The sequence below is a fragment of the Homo sapiens genome, chromosome 6 (genome assembly GCF_000001405.40).
Source record: "Homo sapiens chromosome 6, GRCh38.p14 Primary Assembly".
NCBI lineage: Eukaryota > Metazoa > Chordata > Mammalia > Primates > Hominidae > Homo > Homo sapiens.
Window position 1 is genome coordinate 6,377,685 of NC_000006.12, and position 16,449 is coordinate 6,394,133.

Below are 16,449 nucleotides of genomic sequence, written 5' to 3' on the forward strand. Positions count from 1 at the left end.
TATTTCTGAGAAAGGTGCAACAAAAAGCAACTTTGTAATGTGTACAAATTACACAAATACGTTGTTAACCTTGGGCAAGCAAGAAGTAGCTAATTTAATAAATCGTAAGTTCTGTGAAGTTTGAGGTTTTTAACACGCAATAGGCATAAATTACACAATCACAGGATTCATTCTTCTTTTTTTTTTCCGAGACGGAGTCTTACTCTTGTCACCCAGGCTGGAGTGCAGTGGCACAATCTTGGCTTCCTGCAACCTCCACCTCCCAGGCTCAAGCAATTCTCGTGCCTCAGCCTCCTGAGTAGCTGGGATTACAGGCTTGTGCCACCATGCCCAGCTCATTTTTTTTTTTAGTAGAGACGGGGTTTCACCATGTTGGCCAGCCTGGTCTCAAACTCCTGACCTCAAGTGATCCACTTTGGCCTCCCAAAGTGCTGGGATTACAGGCATGAGCCACCGCACCCGGCCAGGATTTATTCTTATTTACTCATTTATTTAACTAACATTTACTGAACTCCTGTAATATGCCAGGAGCTAATCTAGCTGCTGAACAAAACAGGAAAGACCTGGGCCTTGGTGGAACTGAAATAGCTGAAGCTGGGGCAAATTACACTCTGGCTTCCTTTCTACCACATCACAGGTTTTTGGAGTTTAGAAAGACTGAATTGCCCTTTGCAGAACTTTATTGAAAATGCTGATGTCTTCCTAAGAGCAGGTGTATGGAGTAAAATTCTAGGCTGTGTCTCATAGACTCTGCCTGCCAAAGCTTGGCATGCCTCTCTTCCTCCCGCCCTCCCTCCCTCTCTCTCCCTTCTCCCGTCCTTCCTCCTTTCCTCCCTCCCTCCTTTCCTGTCATCCTTCCACCCTTCCTTTTCTTCTCTTTCTTTCTCTCTTTTTTCTCTTATCTGCTCTCTTTCTTTTTTATCCCCCAATCACACCCAAACTGTTATACTAGTTCTGTTCTGGAGTACAACCTTCAACAAAGCAAAACAAAACAAAAACACCCAAGGGTTTTATTTATTTATTTATTTAATTTTTTGAGATGGAGTTTTGCTCTTTTTGCCCAGTCTGGAGTGCAGTGGCACAATCTTGGCTCACTGCAACCTCCACCTCCCAGGTTCAAGCAATTCTCCTGCCTCAGCCTCCCGAGTAGTTGGGATTACAGGCATGCACCACCACACTTAGCTAATTTTTGTATTTTTAGTACAGACAGGGTTTCGCCGTGTTGGCCAGGCTGGTCTCGGACTCCTGACCTCAGGTGATCCGCCCGCTTGGCCTTCCAAAGTGCTGGGATTACAGATGTAAGCCACTGCTCCTGGCCTCAAGGGTCTTTTAGATTGAAGTAAAAAAAAAAAATTGGAATTTGTTAAATTGGTAGCCTACTTTGTGTTCCTATAAGCAAACAGAAAGTACTTCTCCCAAGGCACTGCCATACCACTATTTGACCATATTTTATTTATCAGTGACTCTCCAGGTCTAACCAGGGTGACCAACTTATCCTGGTTTTAACACTAACTCTTCAATCTCCTGGAAGCCAAGACAGTCAGTCACCCTTCCTGTAACACAATAATACCTAGCAGATTCTTTATACACACTTTCTATATGAATAAAGAAATACCCTCATAAAAATATGCAATACTCATCCACACACTTCATTGATTCAATTTTCTATAAGATGTTTTCTCATGTAAAAACAGAAAAAGGAGACTTTCATACACAAGGCTATTTCCAATTATAACCATTAAAAATCAAATGTTTTAGGTTTGAACGTTAAAATATTTAAAATCTCATATAAACTCAGTATGCAATATGTTTATTTTAGTATTCTTAGAGAAAAATGTCAGAGTATTTATTCTTGTTATACTCTGTAACTTTCATTCTGCCAAATGTAGGTGGGGTGAGCAAATAGATTTTTGAAAATAGATTCTGAAAACCAGATTTAAAAAAATCTAATGGTTTCAGGCAGTCATAAACTTGGGATTATGGCTTTCTGCAGGGCAGAAGTAATGAGGCGTGAATAAATATTGTTGATCTCACTTCCTCCCTCTGTAAATGACCAACAAGAGCCATGTTGTACATGTAACGCCACTGACTCACAGGCAGAGGAACCCAAACAACTTCATTTGTGCTTCATAGTTGAAGACAGCCCCTGTTGCGTGACCTCAGGCTAAATAAGCCATCACAGGTCCAGAGACAATTCTTCCTGCAGACACACTTCCCAGCCCAGCTCATCAGGAGACGCTAGCTCAGGCACAGTCTCTCCCACTCGAAAGCTTTATTAGCCATTATCCTTCGTGACTTCAAGGTGAGATCTCAACACACAGTAAAAACTGCTCATTTTCCATTGCTTCTCACCTAACAGGCAAATCTATTTCCCTTATAGGACAGGAATTACAAGTGTAAATGCCACCTACACAGCTATTTCACTGCAGGGGCCACCCCACCAAAAAGAGAGTATCTTAGCCATGGGATATGCTTTTCTGTGGTTTAAACCAAGTTTAAGTAAGAACGGGTCACAGTTTTATTTTCCTTCCTCCCTCCTCCTCTCCCTCCATTCTTTCATTCTTTCTTCCTTCCTTCTCTTTCTTTCTTTCTTCTCCTTCCTTCCTTTCTTTTTTCCTTTTCTTCCTCATGAGACTGCAGAAAAAACTTATAAAATACTAATCAACAGTTTGCAAGACTAACGTTCCTTAGAAAACAGCTTAGGAAGTACTGCTGTGAACATCGAATGGAGATTAATGATCTACCCTGTCCTCCTCATTTCAGCAGAATGTTCTGAACCTATGTTCTCACCTTTACTCCTTAATGGAGAGCTGCATGGGGGAAGTGCATCGGTTTCAGGCCCAACTTGGTCGCCAAACCACTGCTGGGTGTCATCTCTTCACCTCTACAATGGGAGTTTGGAATGAGGCATTCTTCAATGTTCCTTCAGTTCTAATCATGTTCTACATTAATTGGTACACATGCATGCACACACACACTCCAATGTAACCACATATAAAGGCATGGACAAAGTTGTTTCCCTCATCTCTCAAAACACTGTTGAAGTTCCAACCCCCAGTACCTCAGAATGTGACTTTATTTGGAGATAGGGCCTTAAATAGGTGATTAACTTAAAATGAGGCCATTAAAGTAGGGCTCTAATGGATTATGACTGGTGTCTATTTTTAAGAGGAGGAAAAGACACAAGGGATGCATGTGAAGAGAGAGAAGGGCATGTGAGGACACAAGGAAAAAGGACACCGTCTGCAAGCCAAGGAGAGAGCCCTCGGAAGGAACCCACCCTGACAACACCTTGACCTTGGACTTCCAGCTTCCAGAACTGTGAGAAATACATTTATGTTGTTTAAGCTGCCCAGTCTGGTATTTTGTGTGTTGCAAATATGTCCCCTTTCTATCAAGGAAGATCTGCATTGATGCTCTGATCCCAAATGTATGTGCAACATGAGAGAAACTGAAGATTTGTCTGGAAGACCCAGACTTGGATCCAAATGGTGCAGTTGGAATAACTTCCTTCAGGAAGATAATCCATACTGATGTGGTTTATGGCTGACCTTTAACCACAACCTCATGGCATGTCTTCGTTCTCTTGAAACCTGCAGCAGAACAAGCCTCATGCTGGAAAAGCCATGGCTGACATGGGCTTCTCCCCTTTGCTAAGATTCACGAAGACCCAGAAAATTCTACAAGTATTTACTGAGCACTCATCATGCACTGGGAGTGGTGCAAGACACAAGATAAATAAAACTGGGGCCTCCTGCCCCTGGAGAACTTACAAGTGAAGGATGATGGACATACAAGCAGCTCCACTAAGCCAGATGGTGTTTTGCTCAAGAAACTAAATGCTATGGAAGTTTTATCTGTGAGGAATTATATTTCATTACGAATAAAAGAAGTCCTAGGGAAAAGTGGCTCAAACAAGTAAGGACTTTATTTTTCCTATACAACTAGAATTCCAGAAGTTCATGGTTGCTGGTGTTGCTTCAAGGCTTCAAAGATGTTAGGGTCAAGGTCTTTGCAACAACTGTTTTCCCCCAGCTTTATTAAGATGTAATTGACCAATAAAAATTGTATACATTGACAGTATACAATGTGAGATCTCCACCTATGCATACACAGTGAAATGGTTAAATCAAGGTGTTTAACATCTCCATCACCTCCATACTTATTTTTATGTGGTGAGGACATTTAGCATCTGCAACAATCTTGATGGTCCCTTGTAGTTTCAAAGTGGTTACTCTAGCCACTGTGTCACATTGTGTTTTAAGGAGATAAAAGAAGGAAGGAGGAAAAGAGCAAAAGGCAGACCAATGCCAGCTGCATCTGCAGCCCATTTTAGAGGCTTTCTCCTTGAATCCCACCCACCTACTTCCATTAACATCTCACTGGCCAGACCAGTGCTCCATAACCTCTGGGCCTAGAGAGAGGCTGAGAAATGCATTTTTTTTTCACCTAGGCACTTTGCTGCTCATCCCTCCAACAAGAATGAGAAGGAGAAGTAGAGGGAGAATAGATTTGGGGTAGGCAAAACAAACAGAGAGCAAGGAGAGGTGTGTTCATCTGCAATGGCTCATTCCATGTTGTTAGAGGATGTGAGGTGTGAGCTGAGTCCAGAGGCAAGCAGTGTGGAAAGAGCAGTCTATGCAGAGGGGTCATCACCGCAAAGACAGAAGGTTCAAGACCACAGATCACATAAGAACCTCCGAGGCTAGGGCTTAGCATGTATGGGCAGTGAGAGAAAGTACCAGAAGATCAGTTAGAACATGCAGATGGGGGCTAACTGGTGAGTTTACTAGTTTCCTAGCGCTGCCATAACAAATACCATAGCCTGGGTGCCTTAAATACCAGATTGATTTCCTCACAGTTCTGCAGGCTAGAACTCCAAAGTCAAGGTGTCAGCAGGGTTGCTTTCTCCTGAGGCCTCTCCCCTTGGCTTGCACGAAGCTGTCTATCACTGCATCCTCACATGGTCACAGATGTATGCACACATCTCTCTGCATGTCCAAGTTTCCTCTTCTTATAAGGATACCAGCGACATTGGATCAGGGTCCACCCTAATGGCCTCAGTGTAACTTAATCACCATTTTAAAGGTCCTATCTTCAAATATGGTTGCATTCTGAGGTATTGGGGGTTAGGCCTTCGACACAGGAATTTGGGGGTGGGAGGGCAAGACATGACCAGAATTCAACCCATAACAGGGAGAATCTTAAAATCTAGGCCAAGGAGTTTGTGTTTTGTTCTGTATGCAAGAGGAAGACAGCAGACGTTCTGAGCGGGGAGAAACATTATTAGAGTTATTATTTTTTAGCAGGCTAGTCCTTTGTTCCCATTGTGTAGGATGCATTAGCAGCACGGAAACCCAAGGGAAACCATGGCTTTAGTGAGGGCAAGAGGGAATGATGATCTGAATTAGGGCAGTAGCAACAGAAATGCAAATAGGAAATGCAGTAGGAGATAAATCCAAGAGACACTGTGGGGGTAGAATAACCAGGATTTGCTGACTAATTTGATATCATGGTGCACATGAGGGAGGAGTTGGAGGCAATGCTGAGGTTCCTGAGGCCAGGCAGTGGAGTGTGTGGGGGTGGTATTCACTGACATGCTGTGAAGTAGAGGAGGCCAAGTTCAGTTTAGGACATGACCATGCTTATAAGATGTGCATATGACACTAGGATGGAGCGATCAAAAAAGCAGCTGAAAATGTGGGTCCAGAGCTTGGGCATCACCAAAAGCCTTATTTTAAACAACAGGTTGGCCTAAGCAAACTTTTGAGTAGGAAAATTTGTCCCTGATGTCTTTCCACCCCCTGTCACATTCTCTCTGCTATCCTTGGGTCCTAGGCCCACATGCTCTCAAACTGCCCTTCCTCCTCCTCCTGAATGCAAACGCCCCTGCACTCCATCAAGCTCCAAGTGTTCCTAGTCACGGAGAAGGAAGAGAGAATGATAATCTCCCGAAGGAAAGCCTGGTGCTTTTCAGGCAGTGTCAGGGGGAAGAGAGGAATCTCAGCCTGAGGCTGGGAGGCATTTTCACAGTCAATGTCTTTTCCTGCTGCTCCTGAAATCACGCTATGCCACTCAGCCTTCTCAGAGGACTCTGAACCCAGAAATCAGACTTTGACCATCTGCTTTTGGCTGCTTCTGAGAAAAAAGGCCTTAAACCTTCAGATATGTACTTGAAAATAAAGAATGCATACCATGGATTTGTGTGTGTCAAATGGGTTTGGTTCATATTTATAAACTTGACTTTCCTGAAGCAATAGATTGCCAAGCAGCCCTGTGCCCTGGGGAAAGATCACTGATGCAACCATGCCTCTAACAACATTTAATCTGAGTTACCTTTCTGTTTGCAGCCGAAGAATTCTCTAGAATGGCTTTCTTATTAGGATTAGGCATGGGTCAATGTCTGTCAAATTTTAGGTGGCACTAAAACTCCGTAAGAAAATGGATACCTTTCCATTTCAAGCATGCCAAGCCCTGGTCTTTGGTGAAGAAATAGACACATTCTCACCCAAATACAAATTCTGTTTCCCACGCACCTTCTCTGGGCTGTATTTCCTTTGGGTAGTGTGGCGCGGATCAGCCCTTGGGCTGCCTCCCAATTCTGGAATCTATTATTGCAGCAGAAAGGCCAGACTGCAGCTTCTTCGAGTTTTCTCATCGTTCTCACCCTGCCTCAAGAATATAGGTCATGGCATTTGTGGATGCACCTGTGGGACACAGTCACCTATATTCTCCTGTGGGCGCCCCCAAGGGATGGGCTTAGTTGAGATCTGTTGTCCCTGTGCAGGAACCAGCTCTGAGCTTGGGCAGAGAGATATGTCTTACACAGAGAAGAAGGGAGAGGAGAAGCAGTAAAAGAGAACAAGGCTGGAGTCAGCTGAGGGAGACTCAGTATAATTGATTGTTGCTGCCCAGGGCCTCTTTGGCCTTCACCCCCTGGGAGGAAAAGGTGTTATGCACCCCTCAGGTGCACAGGGCAACCCAGATGCAACCCTGAGGACTATGAAGAAGGAGACAGATGTAGCTCTGCACCTGTTTCTTTTTCTCTCACAAACCGCATTTCTGACATTCTTCACCCCACAGCCAATGGGAGTGATGGCTCCTTTTATCACTTGCAGTCTGACCTGCTGGCTGAGGATCTGAACTTGCAAGCTCATTTCTTTTCAGCTGTGGGTTGTTTGCAGTGAAACGATACCAACTGCCCGCTGAATTTCGGGTGGTCGTCGGCCACGGGGCTTTCAGGATGCTCCCCCTAGCCAGCCAGCTCAGAGTCTCAGTCCCCTTTTTGCTGACTTCAAATAATGTTCTAGCAGCTTGGAATCATTGCTTTCCCCCTTTCTGTTCAGGTTTGGGTGAGGCATTTATGTGTAGACAGCCCGACCCCTATTAGTTAGAATGAGAAAATACTAGGGCTGTGAAGCTCAGATTTGATGCTAAATTAATTCACCAAGTTCTTGCTTTTCTTATGGATAACACGATTCTGGAAAAAAAGATCATTGCATTCTCAACGTCTGCTCTGTCCAATACAGGAGCAACTAGCCTCATGTAACAATTTAAATTTGAATTAATTAAAATTACATAAAATTAAAATTCAATTCTTCAGTCACACTGGCCACATTTCAAGTACCCAATGGCCACATGTGGCTAGCTAGCAGCTACCATGTTGAAGAAGCAGACGTAGAACATTTCATCTTCACAGAAAGTTCTATCAGACAGCACTGATCCAACAATTCCATTTCTGACCTTTGACTATGAAATGCAACTGCTTCTTGGCCCTATGACCCTTATACCAAACACTTGGATTTTGTCTGATAACAACAGATCACTGGTGGCAGGATACGTTTAATGTTCATTATTGTTATATTGCTGTTATCATGATGATTTATAATTATAGAATACCTGCCAGGTTTTTAACTAATTTCTTTCCTTATTGTTTCATGGATCTGATTTGCTAGTGTGAATTAATAGCATTTATGGAATTTCCAAGGTTACTCTCCTTCTCCAACAGCATCCCCGTTGCTGACATTGATTCATTTATTCTTCGTGCATTCACTAGATGCTTCTGAAGGGTGTGTTCCCCACGCTTAGATGGGGGTGACATTTGTGAATTCACCTGTGGGACACAGTCACCTATACTGTCGTGTGAAGTACAGACACTGTAACATTCTATTTCAGAGCTGGGGCTCTGGTGTCCACTATGCAGCTTTGCCACTTTCTATCTGTGTCCTTCATTTTCTTATCTGTAAAATAAGGATAATAAACATATGGAGCTCTAGAGATTATGAAGATTAAATGAGCTAAAACATGCACAGTTCTTACACAGAAGGTGTTGTCTACTAGATAGTCTAACATGTTATTTTAATAATCAGCCTGTTCATTTTCATTATTGTTGATATGGGTTGATATTTTAAGTCCAATTCTTTTCTGGCCAATCATTCTACAAAAGAAATGAGGATCCAGAACGGGGATTGTGGTTAGTGTGAATATGTAGCTTCTTCCCAGAACAACCATTTCGACAGTTCCTGCAGCGTGGTGAAATTTCCTGTTCTTTGTTTTGCTGCTTTCTCTCCATGGATAAAAACTATGAGTAAGCTGAATAGTGGTAGCAAGCAAGCAAATAAGAAATTAGATTCTGAAAATGCTTGTTCTTCTTTTACAGAAGAACAGAATCTGTTTTCAGTGCCTGGAGCGGAGCTTATTTATTTATATATATATTTATTTATTTATTTTTCTAAAGAACAGAGCCTGTTCTAGAATACCCACTCAGCATGGCATTCACATCTTTTCTGAGTGACTTCATTGGAAGAAGAATAAAATCAATAATGAAAAATAACATCATCTTTGTTTCCTGAGAGCACTTGAATTTAGTAGAAATTGAAGGAATTCAAAGCACTTAAAGAATTAGATTATTTCTTGAACCTACATCATCTATGGCAGGAAGTCAGTGTGAGCAGGAAGCGTTTACATTTAGGAAATGCTTTGGTGCATCAAGGTCACCTTCACTTCTACAGCCTGGCTTCTGCTCCACCTGTCTGGGTGAAGTGACTCTTTCTGTGACTTTCCCAGGAGCCACACAGTTCGTTCTCCCTGTTTGACATTGCTAACCCCCTTAATCTTCCTTGAAAATTTATTTCCAATATTCACTGCTTTGTTTCTGGGCCTGGCTTGTAGAAGTATCTACATTGAAGAGGCTTTCCTATTGAAATGTAATAGTGTCTCAGATAAAGACCTTGATGGCATGATATTTACATTTTTGGATACTGTGAAGCTGAGAAAATTACCTACAGTGATAGCTTACACAATGAAGACAATAAGAATCAGCAGATTGGAACAATGGATCAACTGCAAAATCTTCATCTTTGGTGTCTCTGAAACAACACCCAGATTGAGGATAGGGAAAAAGAGAACTGTGTTACAAGCAACGTAAGATGTCTTCTGTTTTTTGATAATAGCCACCCTGAGAGGTATGAGGTGATATCTTGTGGTTTTGATTTACATTTCTCTGATGATTAGTGAATTAATTTTTTTTTTTTTTTTGAGATGGAGTCTCGCTCTGTCACCCAGGCTGGAGTGTGATGGTGCAATATCTCAGATCACTACAACCTCTGCCTCTGGGGTTCAAGCGATTCTCCTGCCTCAGACTCCTGAGTAGCTGGGATTACAGGTGCCTGCCACCACGCCCGGCTTATTTTTGTATTTTTAGTAGAGACAGGGTTTTGCTAAGTTGGCCAGGCTGGTCTCCAACTCCTGACTTCAGGTGATCCTCCCCCCTCAGCCCCACAAAGTGCTGGGATTACAGGGGTGAGCCACTGGGCCCGGCCAAGCATTTTTTCATATAGCTGTTGGCATTCTTATGTCTTCTTTGGAGAAATGTCTATTCAAGTCCTTGGCCCATTTTGTAATCAAATTGTTCATTTATTTTTACCATTGTGTTGTAGGAGTTCCTTATATATTTTGGATATTAACTACTTTTCAGACATATGACTTGCAAATATTTTCTTACATTTTGTAGGTTGTTTTTTTCACTCTGTTGATTGTTTTCTTTGCTGTGCAGAAGCTTTTTAGTTTGATGTAGTCCCACTTACTTATTTTTGTTTCTGTTGCCTGTGCTTTTGGTGTCATATCCATGAAGTCACTGCCAAGATCAACGTCATAGAGCTTTTCTCCTGTTTTTTTTTCTTAGGAGTTTTACAGTTTTGGGTCATACATTTAAGTCATTGATCCATTTTGAGTTCATTTTTGTGTATGACATAAGATAAGGGTCCAATTTCATTCTTTCGAATGTGGGTATTGTTTTCCCAACACCATTTGTTGAAGAGACAAAAGACAAGTGTTGGCGAGGATGTGAAAAAACTGTAATCCTTGCACATTGCTAGCGAGAATGCAAAATGGTGCAGCTGCTATATAGAAAACAGTATGAAGGTTCCTCAAAAAATTAAAAATAGAGCCACCATATGATCCAGCAATCCCACTTTTGGGTATTTATCCAAAAAAGTTGAACTCAGGATCTTGAAGAGATAATAGCATTGCAGCAGTATTCACAATAGCCAAGATGTGGAAACAACCTAAATGTCCACCAAGAGATGAATGGAAAAAGAAAATGTGATACACACATACAGTGGAATACTATTGCTTTTACAAAGAAGGAAATTCTGCAATACGTAACAACGTGGATGAACCTTGAGGATATTATGCTAAGTTAAAAAAGTCAGACACAGAATGACAAATATTGCATGATCCCATTTACATAAGATATTTAAAAATGGTCACAGAATCAAAGAGTGAAATGGTGGTCGCCAGAGGCCAAGGGAAAGCAGAAATTGAGTTACTAGTCAATGGGCACACAATTCTAGTCAAGAAAGATGAGTAAGTTCTAGAAAACTACAGTACAGCATTTTACTTACAGCCAACAAAATAACATGTTATAGACTTTAAAATGTAAGAGAGTAGATTTCCTGTTAAGTGTTCTTATCACAACAAAATAAAATAGAACAATGCAAGATGTAATAAGTTTAATAAGGAAAATTATGTCAATGAAGTTGGGGCATGTTAAGAGGAGTCTGGGTTGTAAAACAAGGGAGTCTAACTCTTCTCATTGATTCAAGAGATAATGATTGATTTAATGGCCATATAGCATCTGGTGGAGTGCATGAGTGGCACATGCTATGTGAGCAATGCAAAGCAGTCATCTTTCTTTCTTTGCTGGCCAGACCAGAGCCAGAGCTTGTTGAACTCTTCTGGGGTATGCACTTTAAGATGGGCATTGGCATAGAGAGCTCTGAGAGGGAAATGGCCCATAACAAGGAGATGGAAATCCACGTCATGCTGTGTGTGGATGCAGTTAATTAAGGGCAGGGGTAGCGCATGGTGTCAGTCCTCACATCTCTGAGGGCTGTCAGAGGGTGTTCTGATTTAGTGCCTCCCCAGAATAGGAAAGACTGTTGTCCACCCTGGAGGGGCCAGCCCAGAGCTGGGCTACCACTGCACTGTAATATTAAGGTGGAAATGAGTAGACTCTCTTCCATGCCTCAGATGTCCTGTATTTTTCAGTAAGTTTTGACTATATGTTCCATGAGGGCAGGAAGTGTGACTGTCTTTTGCACCCTTAATTCCCATATCGAACAGTGCACCTGGCACATAATAAGCACTCAGATTACATGTGGAGTTGAATTGAAGGTTCTTTCTCTCCATAAAGGTGTGTGTTCCCCACGGCTGAGCACTAGCCCATCTGAGCATCTCTCTCTCTCCTCTCTCTGATACCTCATTCACTCCCACGATTTCAACCCTCACTTCTCTATGGAGAAGGGACCCCTGAGTCTATGCTTCTTGCTAGGCCCACATTTCCCAATTCCCTGCTGAATTATTTCCAACTGGAAATTTTATTCTCTGTTATTTGCAGAATTGCTAAGTTCAAACTCCTCATGGTACTCACCAGAAAAGCCTTCTCTCCAATTTCCCTGCTTCAGTACTAATACACACATTTCTGCAGCCATCCATTTCTCAATGACAGCACATCAGCAGGCACTCAAGGTTCTGAAGAAGACATGCAGAGTGTAGCTTGTGATTGGTCAAAATGAGACTGACAGAAGCTGATCACCGAGGCATGAGCCTGGCATACCAGCCATTACAGGTGAGGGAGAGGCTCATTTTGGTCAAGTATACATTTTTTTATATATGTATATTTTTTATTATACTTTAAGTTCTAGGGTACATGTGAACAACACGCAGGTTTGTTACATATGTATAAATTTTTATGTCCACTTAATAAGTAAATTCATAATTATCACCTTCTCATCAATAACAAAGAAATGAAAGAATGCAAGGTAGTTCTATTCAATGTGGGCGTGTTTCCTCCAATCATGAAGACACTCTTAAACCCCAGCTTAGCCATCATTGTTGAAGAGTTTAGCGTGCTGCCTAAATAGACTAGATGCTTAATACTTATTTGTTGAATGAATAGAAATAAATCTATTTTCAGGGAATAAAACAACATCAGAAATCTAATCCTATTTCTCTTCTGGCATAGGACTACAGCTATTGAGCACTTGAAATCTGGCTAGTCTGAGTTGAGATGTACTCTAAATATAAAAGCAGCACTGGATTTCAGTCCTAGGATGTAGAATATTTTATTAGTAATTTTATATTGAATATTGATTATATGTTGAAACAATCATATTTTGGGTGTATTGAATTAAATAAAATACATTATTAAAGTTAACTTCACTTGTTTCTTTTTACTTTTTAAATATGACTTGTAGAGATTTTAAAATTATATGCCCAGCTTATATGCTATTTCTATTGGACAATGTCGTTGCAGACCCCTCTGTGGGTGCTACTGAACTCCTATTCATATTTTGGCAATGAAGAGGAGTTATTTGTTCTATGGGGGGCCCGTTCCATTGTATGGTAGCAGCCTAATTGAAAGAATATTAAGTTGAAATTAGTTTTTCTATCATTTCCATACTTCAATCCCAGGCAAATGCCCCACCCTCACCTTGTAATTTCATCGGTCAAATGAGGCAGCTGCGCTAGGTGACCTTGAGGCCCTCTCCCTGTCCAGCCATGTAGGAATCCTCTATTCCTGCCCTCCTCCCCCTTCCACCCAACAGCCCTCCAAATCCTTTCAGGCAGCCCTCAGATCTCTTCTTAGCTTCTGCCAGCTTTTCTCAGCTCCTCAGCACCTCTGAGAGCTTTGCAAATCATCCCTTCACAGCATCATCATAAAATATCTCACCGGAGCCAGTTTGAGGGGGAGGCAGCTTTTGCAGCTCCCAAGAGGGCAGATGCCACTCCCTGCCACCAGGTCTCCATGGCCCCTCCCACACTTGGAGAGTGAGGGCTCCGGGGAGGGTGGCTCTACTTCACTGCAGAGAAAATGCAGTCGGTGAGAGAAAGAGATACACTGAGGCTCCAGAGAGTGTAAAACAAGCATCTCGTCACAAAACAGAGAGGAAACTAAGTCTGGGATTTATTGCTGAGTCCCTTCTTCTGATAAAGAAGCCAGAGGAGCATCAACATTTTCCTTGGAGTCGGGAGTCCTTGGCACCCTCTCTCTGCAGAGTGAGTTCCATCTGAAAACTCTCCTTGGCTGCTCATGCCAATCTGCCTTTCTTCCAAACAAGGACATGAAATCACTCTCTCTAGAACGCAGATTCCATAAGGCTCCAGAAAGAGACTAGGTTTCATTTTAGCCATCAAGGCCCTCTGGCCCCATGCGCTGTTAGCTGGGTGGCCCCTCTTGGCAGAATGACTTCAAAGGGTATTTCCCACCTAAAAGGCCAAATATGTTTTTATAGTTACACCCTCACAGCTTCATTCTTCAACTCAGTGTCTCAGTTCCCTTTTTGCTGATTTCAAATAATGTCCTAGCAGCTTAGACTTATTGCTTTCCCCCTTTCTGTTCAGGTTTTGGGGAAATATTATATTATATATATATTATATATTAATATATATAATAAATAAATATATATATATATATATCATATATATGTTAAAAGAATCAGACTGTAAGCCATTGCCAGTGCACCCCTCAATTATCGGTGAGTCTCTTTCTTAGGAGTCAGCAGTCACTCAGCTCCGTGATACTGCATCTGTGTTGGGCTACACATAAGACAATGATCTACTCCTGGTGTGTTTTGTTTCCACAAATGACTGCACATATTTCCAAATTTTTCAATTGCTTAAGAATAATTGCAGCCCCCAAAGGCCAGTTGTTTGCAAGTCATTTCCCTTGGCATAGACAATCTAATCCATGATCCATATTGGATGCAACTCTCCTGATGTCCTCGACACCCAGAATTTGCCAATACATGTTTTTGAAATTAAGAAGAATTAATACATGAGGCTGGGCTTCTCTAGTCCTGTCTTAATCATGGGTAAAATTCAGCATGGGCTGTATTCCTTTCAGCAATGCCCACGCCATGCCAGCTACTGGACTTGGAGAACTTGAGGAGTGAAGACAACAGGCAATTATCATACTGTAAATGTGTACTGTGTTAGGGATGGTATAGGCAAGACTCAAATCAGCACCTTGGCACCATCAGAGCTAGTTTAGCTGTTTATAGCTCAGACTCATTTTGGTTGGTCAGAAGAGACTCCGACCTAGCTGGTGGGGGCAGTGGGACAGTTGATAAGCCCTGGAGGATTTGTCAACACCCATGGGACCAACAGAGGCAACAAACTCAAACTTTTCCAGTGAGGATGAAAGCCACACAACCCTGTCACTGTATCTTTGGGCTGACCCTCTGACCTCTTAGATGCTGAATCCACCCCTGCCTTCCTGTTCCTGCCACTGCTGTCTTCCTCACCAGGCCCTTCATGCTTGCCTCCCATCAACTGTCTCAGGTCCTGATGCCTGGCAGCCACCCAGACCCAGTATAGCGTATTTTGTCCTCGGGGCTTTTCAGAAGCCTTGAGCTTCTTGACAAACTTTCGCTCCAGTTGGAGGGAGGTCATGTGGTACAGAGAAGGGGCCTTGGAGTGCAGGATGAGAGTCTGAATTGTAGCCCTACCTATGAGAACCGTGGGAACAGGGGCAGGTCACGTGGCATTCTCATCAGTAAACTGAAGATGATAACATTTGTCCCAAAGGAGATCACATGAGATGATAGTGTAAAAACAGTGTGTAAGCCACCACAAGTCTTACCCAAATGTGAGGGTCTCACCTAAGCCCTTTGGAGACTGAAGCTGCACTGAAGCCCTATGCAGACTGAAGCTCACACCTTTGCAGCATCCTGTTTCAGTTCTGCAAATCACCCAATGACTGAGAGGTTTTCAAAACTGGCAAACTCCTATTGCCCATGGGAGATCTCCATGGGGATTCCCGCAGATATCCCTTGAGTCTTTCTGGCTAACTGCTACCTATTTTTCCCCCTCCTGTCTCCTGGATTCAAGGCTGAGTTTGATGCTCCTCCTTGGCTTGCTGACGGCACCCAGAGCATGCCTCTATTCAAGCACAGGCGTGGCACAGATTTTCTGATCTGTTTCCTCTATTCAAGCACATGCGTGGCATGGATTTTCTGATCTGTTTCCCTCTGTAAATCCCTTCGTGGTGGAGACTGTATCTTTCACTACTAGGTGAAAGATACCTTTCACATGTTAGGTCCTCAGTAAATATTTCTTGAACAAATGAATGAATGAAATTCTCACTCATCTCGAAAGTGTACATTCTCTGCTTTCTCTGAGCAGCCTTTCAACACAGTATGACCACAATAATTCTATTTTCTCAGTGGAATTGCACACCTTGAGGGTAGACACTGTCCTGGCAATGGCTACTATATAATAAGATGCAGGGAAGGAATTGCAGGCACCACTGGTTTCCCTCGCATGCTCTGTTATTACAGTACTCCTTTATTACAAGCTTGGGTTTTGTGTTTGCAGATGCAGTCACGTGGCAGAACCAAATCTCATAAATATATAGGTAACGTGGTAACCAAAAGACTCCATTTTGGAATGGCTGGAGTCTCTGAGACCTCTCTAGATGTAGTATAATGTAATGATTAAATGCCTGGGCTTTGGAGTCGATTAGATAGGCTCAAATCTCACTTCATAAACTATGTAATCTTAGGCAATTTCCTTAACTTTGTTGCCTCATTTTTCTCATCTTTATAAGCTTTGTGCTCCTCACATACTTGTTCTGAGAATTAAAGAAGATAATACATATTAAGCAGTTAGCACAGTCCCTGGCACATAGGAATTATCCAATATCTACCATATCTACCAGTTCTTTCTTTCATCATTGTTATTATTTTCATCATTAGGAAGTCATCTCTTTCTTCCTTTTGGTGGCATTCCCTGGCACCTCTCTCCCAGTTTTAAGGATCTCAAGGGCAGCATATTCCACAAGACTTTTAGTACCTCTGGTAGCATTTGTGGATTTGTGTGTCTGTGGATGTAGATATTTGGAAAAAAAAATGTCAAAACTCTTTACCCTCAACAAACCAAGAGTGT

General features: G+C 42.3%; 1 long non-coding RNA gene across 1 annotated transcript in view, besides 3 other annotated features; it reads right to left on the bottom strand.

Annotated features, from left to right (window-relative positions):
- The window catches only part of LY86-AS1 (LY86 antisense RNA 1), a 276,362-nt gene that overhangs the window by 31,220 nt on the left and 228,693 nt on the right, over positions 1-16,449 (bottom strand). The window lies entirely within an intron of this gene.
- Positions 13,620-13,669: an enhancer, noted in NCBI's record as "active region_23916". NCBI's record gives its function as "activates an Ori minimal core promoter by ATAC-STARR-seq in GM12878 lymphoblastoid cells {active_cell/tissue: GM12878}" and the evidence as "EXISTENCE:reporter gene assay evidence [ECO:0000049][PMID:35858748]".
- Positions 14,618-14,787: an enhancer, noted in NCBI's record as "active region_23917". NCBI's record gives its function as "activates an Ori minimal core promoter by ATAC-STARR-seq in GM12878 lymphoblastoid cells {active_cell/tissue: GM12878}" and the evidence as "EXISTENCE:reporter gene assay evidence [ECO:0000049][PMID:35858748]".
- Positions 14,918-15,117: an enhancer, noted in NCBI's record as "active region_23918". NCBI's record gives its function as "activates an Ori minimal core promoter by ATAC-STARR-seq in GM12878 lymphoblastoid cells {active_cell/tissue: GM12878}" and the evidence as "EXISTENCE:reporter gene assay evidence [ECO:0000049][PMID:35858748]".